We start from the raw sequence: 12,429 nt of genomic DNA, 5'->3' as shown, positions 1-12,429 counted from the left end.
ATATTTGAGCTTCAGGTATAACTTGACCAACAGCTCAACAAAGTTACCAGACGGGAGTTTCCTCTATTTTGTGGCTATTTTTTGCTGGGGATTAGCTTCATTTTCTGGCCCCGTCTAATGCAAGGTGGCTGAAGCAGGTCCAGCCTCACCTCTACCAGGAAAGAGATCCACAACCCTTAAACAGGAGCCTCCAAGTTAAGCCCCATTGGCCAGGAAAGGCCCTACATGAGTTATGTGCTCATTCTCCAACAGATTAAGGTAGCGAGGAGGATGGAATGTGATGATTAACTTAGCTAAGTCATCACCTGTAACTCCTCTAGAGCCCAGGAATTTACGCAGCTTCACCTGAAGGACAGAACCACTTCTCACCCATGTGGTGGCTTTGTAGAAATTGAAAAAAAAAAGATGCCCCTTCTTTGTAAGAAAACATAGCCCCACGGTCTCTCAGAATCAAGACAGGCTGGAATTTAGCCCTTTCTTGTCCTCTTAGTTGTGTGCCTTTGTGCAGTGCACAAACTAGACAGTCTTATTCTGTGGCCCACTGTACATGAAAGGGCAGTAGGGCAGAGTGGTTCTCAACCCAGGGGACCAAGGACCACGCTTTGGGAAATTTTATCCTAAGGCCTTACTGCAATAATTTAGAACCAGGAGTCTCAACTGAGACTAGAGAAGCATCTGATGCAAGAGAAAATTCAGGTAAATGTTGTTTCCTGAGATGTGCCCGTTTATATGACTCCAGCCACGGCTCATGGCAGTTTATTATGGTGGGAAGAGCAAAGGGTTAAGAGTTAAGCCACACTAGAACTGGCTGTCTCTGCCTCAAACTGGCTGGGTGACATTTAGCCTACAGTGTCAGAGCCTTTGTTTTCTTTTCTCCGGGATTTGAGGATTAAATTAGTTAAGATATGTGATGCATTTGGAATGGGGCCTGCCATAAATGCTTAGCAAATGTTATTGTCTCCATTTTAAATCTTTGTGATCGCGAATATATGTCTCTCTTCCAAACCACAGTTTATCTATAAAATGGGGGCCTTAAACTAAATCCCAACGCTTATAGGGTTTAGTTAGATGTGAATAAGTGGAGTGGTCTCTTGTAGGGCAATTTGAACTGGGAAATGAGCTCGGAAATCAATTTCTTTCAACCATATGAGAGCCAAACAAAGCAGGTCTGTTGACCTTTGCCCACGGGGCCAGTTGACAACCCTGGAATAAACAATCCCTTCCAGCTCCAGCATTATCTTGTTCTGTTTATATCTGGATCGTGTACTTCCCTAAGTCAAGAATCAGTCTCTAAAGTCACTGAGAACTTTTACAAAAGTAAGTGAATATGAAACAAAAGAGTATGCACAATAATAGTGGATCAGATATGTATCCTACTTGAGGACAGTCATTTCAGGCTATCTTGGAACCAAGGAACAGACAGTACAGACATATAAGCAGGTTATGAAAGTAGAAGTTTATGAGCAACCTCAAGGCCCTGCCCTGCAGCCCAAGGACCCCATGAAGACAGCTGGAGAGGAAATTTTAGGGACAAGGTGGAGCAAAAAGAAATCTGCAGGTGGAATCCTGGATTTGGGAGTAATGACTTTGACTTTAAACCTTTTTAAGGTTCTAGAATAGAGTATTATGTCATAGTAAATTCATAGTCAATAGTAAATACATGATTGATTGATCATATCTTATTTAAAACTATTATTGCTTCCAAAAACTTCAGAAGATAGAATTAAGACAATGAACAGGTCTAGAATCTGATAATCTAGAAGGATGTGACTGGGTGCAGTGGCTCATGTCTGTAATTTGCACTTTGGGAGGCTGAGGCAGGTGTATCACCTGAGGTCAGGTTCGAGACTAGCCTGGCCAACATAGTGAAACCCCGTCTCTACTAAAAATACAAAAATTAGCCAGGTGTGGTGGTGGGCACCTGTAATCCCAGCTACTTGGGAGGCTGAAGCACAAGAATTGCTTGATCCCGGGAGGCAGAGGTTGCAGTGAGCCGAGATGGCACCACTGCACTCAAGCCTGGGTGACAGAGACGCTGTCTCAAAAAAAAAAAAAAAAAAAGGAAACAATGCATTGATTTTCATTGAAACACAAAATTTTTTTGTATTACAAATTAAAATTGAATCACCACAATACCTATGAATAAACATTGCAAAAATAAGGGGAGGATTAGCATAGAAAAAAAGAAAAGCAGATAAACAGCTCAATAGGAAAAGCCAGGGAATAAGGGGAGGAGATCAGAAAAATTGTTCTCCATTTATTCAAATAAATTACAGATAACGTGATATCCACTCCATGCCCCTCTCCCAAAAAGAGCTCAGAGACGAAATAATAAGGGGATCTGGCAGAATTGTAGAAAGAAAAAGAAAGAAATTAGCATTGAAATGAGAGAGTAGAAATAATTAAAGGGAGAAATAATATTACTAAGAAAATCGTGTGGCATGGTGAATTGGCTTGAGGAAATCACAACAAAACAAGGAAAATAGCAATTATATTTAAGTGGTTAAAGAGAAAATGATAAAAATTGAAGACATAAAGGAACAAATGTGTAATTTTTGTTCCTGAAGAAGAGAATAGAACATATAGAACAGAAAAAAAATTCAGAGATAAAATATAAGAAAATTTCATTGAACCTGCATCTGCTCATTGAAAAGACACATGCGTTCCTGGAAAAATTCATTCAAAATGATAAACACTAAGACATATGCTATCTTGGTTTCTGAACTCTATGGGTAAAGAATCTATTGGGTACATAGGAAAAATAAAGACAAATACCTGGGAATAAGTATCTTGTCAGTCTCAGACTTCTTAACAGCAATGCTCAATGTCAGAAGACAGTGAAGCAATATTTACAAGCTTCTGAAAGAAAGAAGTCTGAATAATAATTTTATATGTAATAGAGTAAAAAGGCACTAAAATTATTGGTGGCTAATTAATTATAGAGCTAAGGCTGAGTAACTGAGATTTATGGCAGTGGAATGGAATGTAAATGTTTTAAACCATGACAATATAAAAAAAGATTAGAATTACATTGGAAATATGAAGGGGGAGAAAACAGAATAAAGTATAAATGCATGAATTTTCTAACTTTGAAGTAAGGAGGTAATAGATACTCTCTAAAGTTGAAACATGTATTACTTATAATAATAAAAATAGCTGAGGTTTTTAAGTTTAAAAAATGCTTCTTCAGATACTAATATTTTCTGCTGCAAACATTTATTTAAAGAAAGGCAATTCCCTTAGTTTCACTATAGGTGCTTAGTTTATATAAAAATCAAAGCTGATACTTTTATCTTAAATAGATGCATCTGCTATATCCCCATATCTAAAATTATTTTTTATCTCTCCTTCCATCTGCATGCATGTAGGTAGATATTTGAAGCCATGTCACCATTGTTAACAATGTTTATTTTTGCAGTGGTGGGATTGAGGTAACCTCTGTTAAATTTACTCTTTACATTTTTTAGAGTTAACTTTTTATAACATGCATATTTTGTTCCTAAAAAGACAATAAGGCTATTGTACTTTAATAAAAATATTGTCAAATGTGAGTAATGATCAGTTTTTATAGTGAAAAATTCTTGTGGTTCCCCAGTGTATAAGAGAACTATCTTCTTATGTTAAATTCATACAAACCTTAAAGTAAGCATATGTCCGTTATGCTTGTAGCTCTTATAAAACCAAGAAAATGACATACTAAATAGAAATAAACTACATATCTAATAAACTTCAAACTCAGATAAGTTTGATTTCATGGAGAATGTGGGTTTGTTGCAACTAAACTTGGCTTACGAAACAAGTCTGGAATGCCTTGCTGTGGTTCAGGTTCTTTTGGGGTTTGACAGTCAGTTTGTGGCTGAAATATTACTTTACTTTTCTTTATTTAAAGATGAAGTGGTGCAAGGCCTTTGTTCTTTGAGAGCCCTGCAACACTTGGCCTCTACTCCACACCCTGTTCCAGAGGAAGTCAGCTTATGTTCTCTCCCATTATCTCAGTTACTGTACAACTCGATGTCAATGAACTTTAACATAAATGCAAAATGCAGCATGAAAATCCCAATGCATTTCTCAGAAAGTAATCAAGCACGTTATCTAGAAAACTCTGTTTTTAAATACACATTATTATCCAAATGAAAATAAACTTTCAATAAAACAAAGGGGGCAGGTGGAAACTTTTGGAGGTGAAGGCTAAGTTTATTGAGTTGATGTGATAATGGTTTCACAGGTGTACACTTTTCTCCAAACACATTAAGTTGTATGCATTAAATATCTACAGCTTTTTAATATCAATAATACCTCAACAAAGTGATTTAAAAAAAATACAGGCTGGGCGTGGTGGTGTGCACATGCAATCCCAGCATTTTGGGAGGCTCAGGTGGGACGCTCACTAGAGCCCAGGAGCTGGAGGCTGCAGTGAGCTATGATCACAATGCTGCACCAGCTTGGGTGACAGGTAAGACCTTGTCTGTAGTCTCTAAAAAAAAAAAAGAAAAAAAGAAAAGAAAGAAAATACATTTTAAGATTTTTTTTCAGTTAGAAAGAATAAATAATACCTAGTATTTGATAGCATAACAGGGGGACTACAGTTGATTATGATTTAATTGCACATTTAAAAATAACTAAAATAATGTAATTGGATTGTTTGTAACACAAAGGATAAATGCTTGAGGGGGGTAGATATCCAATTTTGCATGATGTAATTATTATGCATTGTATGCCTGTACCAAAATATCTCACATACCCCGTAAATATATACACCTAACTATATACTCACAAAATTTTTTTAAAAAAATAAATATTTTTCCAGAGAACCAGTAGCAAAGCAAACTGCCCAACTGTAGGGAGACCCCTGATGTGCTTCCCCCTGCAGAGAGCCTATGAATGGACGTGCAGTCAGGAAAGTTTCACATCACCAAGATTCCTATCCCAGGAAAGCAGATGTTCATAGCTCTGGGAATGGAATGCAACCCTTGTGGAGAGCCTATAAACGAACGCATGGGAGGCAGCTGTCCATATGGATAAGACAGGGCTATAAACGCCCTCATCTTGCCATGGCTCTTCTAGGCCTCTTTAGGGTTAAGGCATACTCCCTTCTGAGAATTTCTGGTCTAACCAGTTGTCTAGCTTCACATCCTGTTTCCATGGGTTGTTTGTAACCAGCTTTTGTGGCAATTGTTACTGCTGACTAATATCTTGCTAATCATAGGTTATGGAAAGACTGTGTTTCTGTTTTAAGGCTCTGTTAGAAATTACTGATGCACACACTATGTTGTAAATTCTTATCTCTGTATACTGTACTTCTGCATACAAATGTACTGTACTTCTACATACAAATGTTATGTTAAAGAATTACTTCATCCCCATGTGACCATCTCACCTCATAATCAAATAACCCTAAATCCCTCACTAACCTACCCCCGCCCTCACTAAACTTAATAATAAATGCTGGTATATCCAGTGTATTGTTGGCACCACAGGACCAGAAGGCGGTGACCCCCCTGGACCCAGCTTTCACTATCTTGTGTGTGTCTATTATTTCTCAACCTGCCGATCTGCCTGGGAACAAAGAGAAAGCCCCGTTGCATTGCGGGCTGCTGGCCAGATCCCGCAATACCCAACATATTTCTACAGAGCACAAGGGGTGCACAGGCTCCAGTTTCAGGTGTTTAGGTTCATGAGGCAAGTCTTTATATTCTCTTTCTTTATGTCAGAGGACAAGGAAAAAGCATGGATTTTTGTTGTCATATGCACTCGGGTTACAATCCCAGGCCTGGCAACTAATAGCTCTGTGACTTTAAACAGCTCACTAACCTCTTTGAGGCTGTTTTCCCACCTAAAAAATGGAGGGTGGGGGCATGGGGGGAATGACTTTTTTATGATTGTGGAACAGATGACATGAAATTGTGTGTCAACACAGGTATTAAATTAGGAGCACAGTGACATGTGTCCCTAGACCCATGTAGTGAGTCTGCCCTTTCAAGAAATAACACATTTGAATGGCTGCTGTCAATCAATGGCAACTAGGTATTGTCCCAGGCAGTCATTGTCCCGGGATAAGGATTTAACAGAAAGTTTTGAGGCTTGATTAAAATTTCCTGAGAGTCACAGTAAACAAAGTTGTCACAGGGAGAGATGGATCATCTGCCTAAGCAGCTCCAGAGCAGGAGAAGCACTCTGCGCTCTGTAGAATGGGAGGGTATGGTGCCGTCAGCTCAGCCCATGGCTGATTCTGCAAACTACTGGGAACAAGCTCTCCCAGCCCAATGGCTGGGCTTCAGGGAATACTGGCTGAGCGTGAGAGGGGGACCTGAAGGGGCGATGGGCTTAGATCCCAAGCATGGAAACACCTTGACAAGATGTCTCCCTCCTGTGTCAGTGAACAAAGCCATCAAGTGAATGTACCTGACCAGACTCCGATAATCAGAATCAAGAGTGACAGCAGCAGTAGTCCAGCACTAGAGAGAGCAGCCCGCTCCTGTGAAGGGTTCGTGGGTGGTGTGGATGCTTGATATTAGGAATACCCATGGACTGTGATGAGCCAGAGTTTGAAAGGATCCTACTTGCAGACTTTTTTAAAATGAGGGCAAATATAACATAGTTTGAAAAACTATTCACAGGAGAAGACAAAGTGACTACAGCTTTAATAGGATATTAATTTTTCTGACTTCCAGTGTGATAATAGAGAAGGGAAATAACCAGAAAGTGATTTTTAAAGATCCTAACTTTGTCTAAATTTCTCAAAAGACTAATCTTTTTGAGGCATGAGAGAATTCAGTACAGTCATCCCCCAGTATCCTGTGGGTGATTAGTTCCAGGACACTTATCAGACACCGAAATCCTCAGATACCTGAGTCCCTTACATAAAATGGTGTAGTATTTGCATATAACCTTCTTACATTCTCCCAAATGCTTTAAATCATCTCTAGATTACTTATAATACCTAACACAATGTAAATAATCGTTATGCTGTATTGTTTTTGTTTGTATTAACTTTTATTGCTATATTGTTATTTTTATTAATAATCTAATATTCAATATTTTCTATCACATTTGGTTGAATCTGCAGATGTGGAGCCTGCTGATATGGAGGCCCAACCCTGGCCTGGGTTACGCAAGCCTGCCTATTGCCCAAGCTGGGAACAGCCAACAGAGATGAGGGCTGGGGTGTGGGACAGCCAGGGAGCAGCTCTACTTAGCCAAATTGAAATGCTGAGATGCCAGAAGAAGCTTCCCCCATCACTCTCTCTAGGAAGAAATATTTGAATCTTGACTGGAAAGAGTACAGATATCAGAAAGGAAGAACAAGAGGAGGCTAATGTGGTTTCACTCCAGAAAATGCCTCCACAGCTGCAGGGAAGTTCTTGGAAGCCTGTAAAACTGTGTTTGGAAATAGGCAGAGCTGCCAAATAATGCTGGTAAATTTCTCATAGCAGAGTAAGAGAGAGCTTCGGCTTTATAGCATTTTAGAAGATTGCATAAATTCATAAGTTAAATATATGACACTCATGTTCAGGAAGGACAGAACTTTACCCCACAGACTTTTGAAATGAGCCATGGAACAAGGTCCTGTGAGCCTTGACCTGGTCCTGACGTTGGAAAAATCAGGCTGTGTTGGCAAGCCCTGCAGAAGCAATGATGGAGAAGCATTATTGAAGAAATACGTATTCAACAGAGAATTGTTGGGCCATCCTAAAATTTACTTTCAGTAAAAATCATTCAGGAGGAACAAGAAAGGGTGGCAATATTGGCTGTTCTCAAAACAAACCAAAGAGCAAAGTGGGCTGGGCCTGGTGGCTGGCACCTGTAGTCCCAGCTTCTTGGGAGGCCAAGGCAGGAGGATTGCTGGAGTACAGGAGTTCAAGGCTGCAGTGAGCTATGATCATGCCACTACACGCCAGCCTGAGCAACAGAGTGAGGTCCTATCTCGAAAGAAAGAAGAAAGGAAGGAAGGAAGGAAGGAGAAAGAAAGAAAGAAAGAATAAAGAAAGAAAGAAAGAAGGAAAGAAAGAAAAAGGAAGGAAGGAAGGAAGAAAGAAAGAGAAAGAAGAAGGAAGGAAGAAAAGAAGGAAGGAAGGAAAGGAAAGAAAGAAAGAAAGAAAAGAAAGAAAGAAAGGCACCTTGAGGTCAGATCCCTGCCAACAAATTCCTAGAGTGGAAAGAAATAATGCTCCAACTCTGGTCAGAAGTTCCCATAGAGAACAGTTTTCTATGTTGCGTAATAAATTACCACAAACTTAGCAGCTTCAAGCAACGCACATTTGTTATCTCTGAATTTCTGTGCATCCAAAGTGTACACATGACCTAGCTGGGTCCTCTTGTCTGAGGTCATGTAAAGCTGCTGTCAGGGTGTCAGCAGGGCTGTGTTTTCATCAGAGGCTTTAAGAATCCGCTCCAGACTTGGGTTTTGACAGAATTTATCTCCTGGTGGTTGTGGGACAGAGGCCCCTATTTCTCACTGGCTGTTGGCTAGAAACTAGACCCTACTCCTAGAGGCCAGCCACAGTTCTCATCCTGTAAACCCCATAGACAGTTCAAACATAGTAGCCGTGTTCTTCAAAACTGGAGAGAATCTCTCTCTCTAGTCTGCTGTAATGGAACACAGTCACAGGAGTAATCATCTTATATTCGCTTGGCTACAGATAAGTCACAGGTTCCTTCCACTCTCAAGGGGAGAGAATTAAACAAAGGGCATGACTCACTGGGGGTAACGTTAAGGTATGTCTGCCACGCACCAATAAAATTCATTGTGTGTGCATGTGTACCTGTGCACACAGGCACATGTGTATGTTTATGGGAAAGGCAGATCACTGCCTTGGTTTTGAGTTCCCCCAGGCTCAGACTCTGAGGCAGGAATTCATGTGGAGCTGGTCTCTTTGGGAGCTGATCCTAGGAAATGCCTGCAGGGCTGCAGGGGAAGGGGAAATTGCCATAGTGAAGAGAGGCAGCTAAGAAAAGATGTGTTAATAAATTATGAACTGTGGACTGCTTGAGCTTTCATCCCTCTGGGAATTCAAGACTCCCACACAATACACACGCGTCAGAGTATTACCTGAGGGCTGGGGGCTGCAGTGTTTATCCACCAGCAGCAGGTACTGAAAACAGCAGGAACTGAGAGGATACAGGAAAGACCTGAGGGCAACTTCATGAGCACAAATATCACAAGGTCGATCACTAGACTAGCACCCCTAGTACTTAGCATGTAACTTCCTTGAGAGAAGGAAGATGAAGAAATATGTTTGTACTGTAAGTCAGTGGACTACTAGATCTCTTCTCCTAATCTATCCCATAGGGAGAGAATTTTTGAATCCAAAATTGTAAATATTTTCAAATACTTTCCTCAGGTTGAAAACATCATGAGATGAAGGACATTTCATTTACAAGAACCGTGGAAGAACCAGGGAAGCCAGAAGGCCAGGCAGGGCTGACCCCCAAGAGAGAAGCAGTTACAGTAGAAGACTGCAACTTCCAGGGAGCTGTACAGAGCAGAGATGCGCACACGTTTAAAGCAGGACCCCTGAGCATGAGGGGTGCAGTGGGGATGCAGCTAACAGCTGACAGCAGAAGCATCCCTGATTGGCCTGACCACCAAGGAGGCACTGTGGGAAGAGAAGGACTGTCAAAGTTGCTTTAACTTTTTATTGAGTATATCATACACGAACAGAAATGTGCACATATCGTAAGTACACACCTGAATGAATTTTCACAGACAGGACACAGCCATGGAACCAGACCCAGATCAAGAAGCAGAACCTGGACAGCACCCCAGAAGCTGCCTTTGTGCCCATTTCCACTCTTGATCCTTCCCCCCGAGGAGGCAACCACTATCCTGACTCAGCACAACGTGGACTCGCTTTGCCTGTTTTCATATACATGGAATCATATAACATATACTCATTTTTGTCCGACAATATTGTTTGTGACATCATCCATGTCATTGCATCATTCTAGAGCATTTATTTTCATGCTATGTCATATTTCATTCTGGAAATATATACTAAATTGTTCATTCTATTGTTGATGGGCATTGGGGTAGTTTCTTAATAGGATTTGAGTTTGGTTGAGTTTGTTTGCTCTGTGGCATACAATATCATCATTTTCTCTGTCTCAACACAAAATCTTTAATCAATGATGTGGGGCGTGAAAGGATTTTGTAAAGTCAACGCAAAGAAGTGCCAAGTCCAGTGTCGGGGATAGTGTGGCATGGAACAGAAGCCACGTGAGAACCAGCCACATCAGGTCGATTTTAATTTCTTGAGTTACTCATTAGATTTCATTCAACAAAATGCATCAAGTTACCTAATCAGGCTGACTGGAACCAGGCAAATTTAGACAAATGCCTCCAGTGGACATCTTGTATAATTTTGCTTTTTTGCTTCCCTTCTTGAGAAATTCCATGTAGTCCAGAGCTGTTGATTATAAAATCCCACTTATACACCAAGAGAATGGACATGGGACCCAAAACAGACCAATTAAAGTTTCATTCTTAGGAATTTTAATTTTGTGTGTGTGACTTTCTTAGTTGTTTTGTTTGTTTATTTGTTTAATGAGACAGGAGGATCTCACAATGGTTTCGAGACTGGTCTTGAACTCCTGGGTTTAAGGGATATTCCTACATCAGCCTCTGGTGTAGTTGGGATTATAGTCGTATGCTACCACACCCAGGAATTTGAATCTTGAAAATCAAATGTTTTTGAACCTGAGTTACCGAGTGCACACCCAAAGCAGATGGTTCTTGAATAAGTGCTACTGCAATTCCCAAAGGGTCCCCGGTTCTTGCCCCTCCTAAGGACATGAACAGCCCTTCTTTCTAGTCTGCCAAAGAACTGGAACTGTTGAACTCTTCTGACCCAAAATTTCTTCCCCATTACCCCAGCCTATACTTTTTTTGAAATCCCCACATTAGTGATTCCTAGAGGGTCATACAATGAAAACATACAATACTACAGCTATTGTATGAAAGTACTGGGGAAGGAAATTTTACTCAGCTAAAATTAATCACTGAAATATTAGTTGTCATGATACCCCTGCAGCTGAAAATCTCTAGAAAACTGGGAGAAAGTTAGGAGGATGCAGCGAGTTGAGTGGGTGGAAGGAGGCTGCTGAAGACAACAGCTGTCAATGTCATGGCTTTGGTTAGGTCAGTTTAACTTATTGTAGGTAGTCAGGAGTGTGGCCTCATATCCACAATAAATGGCACAGAAAGAGTATTCTCTGTTTTCGTTTTTGCTTCCAGTGATTATCGTGTGCTACAAGTCTGGAAACCATGGAGTTAAATGCTTTATAATAACTTTGCTCGGGATTTTACCTCGGTACATTTTTATGTAACATTACCTTTCCTGAACTTCTAGAAGGTGGGGCGGTTAGAGGCAACTCATCCAACTTTGGAGAGCTCCCTATTCTTTGTTTTTTGGGTAGTGTTCTGAAGCATGGCCGCTTGCTCTCTGAAATGCCCTGGCTCTGTTCCATCCCCACTTTTTATATCAACCTTCTCTTCCCTTCATTGCTGTTGTCCTTATTCCTGCTCAGTTTTTATTTCACTCCCAAAGGTCCAGCCAGTCCTGGAAAAGAGCCCTGGCTCTTCCCAGAGTTCACAGCTGCCTCCAATCAGAGTCAACTGTGTATAACACTTCCCAGCGTCATGTTCATGTCGGTAGCCTGCAATCGACCGTGATGAGAGTGTTTACATCATGGAAATCAGCAAACACTACAAATCAGGTTGTGCAAGTTATCAGCACAGCACTGTTTATGCTGTGCCAGCCCTTGAGATCTTATCTGGGGTTGGGGAGTGGAGCTTAAACTCATCAGCATTGGGGTAGGCAAAACTACTTCTGATTTGAGCTACTGCTGCTGAATCGGTCTGCCTGCTCTCCAGTGAGTTCTCTGGGTATTCAGAGATTCACATTCCTTAGACACATCATTGCTGCCCTCTGCTTCCTCCCTCTCAGATGCTGCTGCAGGTCTCATGACTGTTGGTTTATCCTCATCCACTTTTTTTGCGGGGCTTCTACTAACAAGACACACTATCACTTAGCTTTATTGCAAATATTGATTTGCAAATTTTTGTTTTCTTCTGTTTTTATGTGGGGATTCAGAGATTTGAAAACTATGCCACCACCATCTTCCCAGAATCTATAAGATGGATGACTTATAGATTCGTTCTAAGGTTTGTTCCTGTTCTGAAATTGTCTAGGTTCAAATCTCTGAAAACTCTTTTTGTGAAACAGTGAGTTGGACCTAGAGCTATAGCTGGCCTCTCATGAGGCCCCCGAAGGCCTCCTGGGGGTCAGGGCTGGAGTACTACTGATCTTTCATAGAAAACGCCTTTTGTTAAATTTTTGTAGAAGGTACTTCTCCTTAGCTATCAGCTCTCTGGGGTTCTACAGTTTCCACCATTAAACTTCATGCCCTTCTGCCTGCTTCACACAGCCT

The 12,429-nt window shown here is 40.9% G+C and overlaps 1 annotated feature.

The window, feature by feature from the left end:
- Window positions 10,544-10,742: a silencer, noted in NCBI's record as "fragment chr1:120323715-120323913 (GRCh37/hg19 assembly coordinates)". NCBI's record gives its function as "represses an EF-1alpha promoter that drives an FKBP-Casp9 reporter gene in an ReSE screen in K562 erythroleukemia cells {active_cell/tissue: K562}" and the evidence as "EXISTENCE:reporter gene assay evidence [ECO:0000049][PMID:32094911]".

This window comes from Homo sapiens, chromosome 1, assembly GCF_000001405.40.
Source record: "Homo sapiens chromosome 1, GRCh38.p14 Primary Assembly".
Classification (NCBI taxonomy): domain Eukaryota; kingdom Metazoa; phylum Chordata; class Mammalia; order Primates; family Hominidae; genus Homo; species Homo sapiens.
This window is presented reverse-complemented; position numbering and strand designations above follow the sequence as displayed.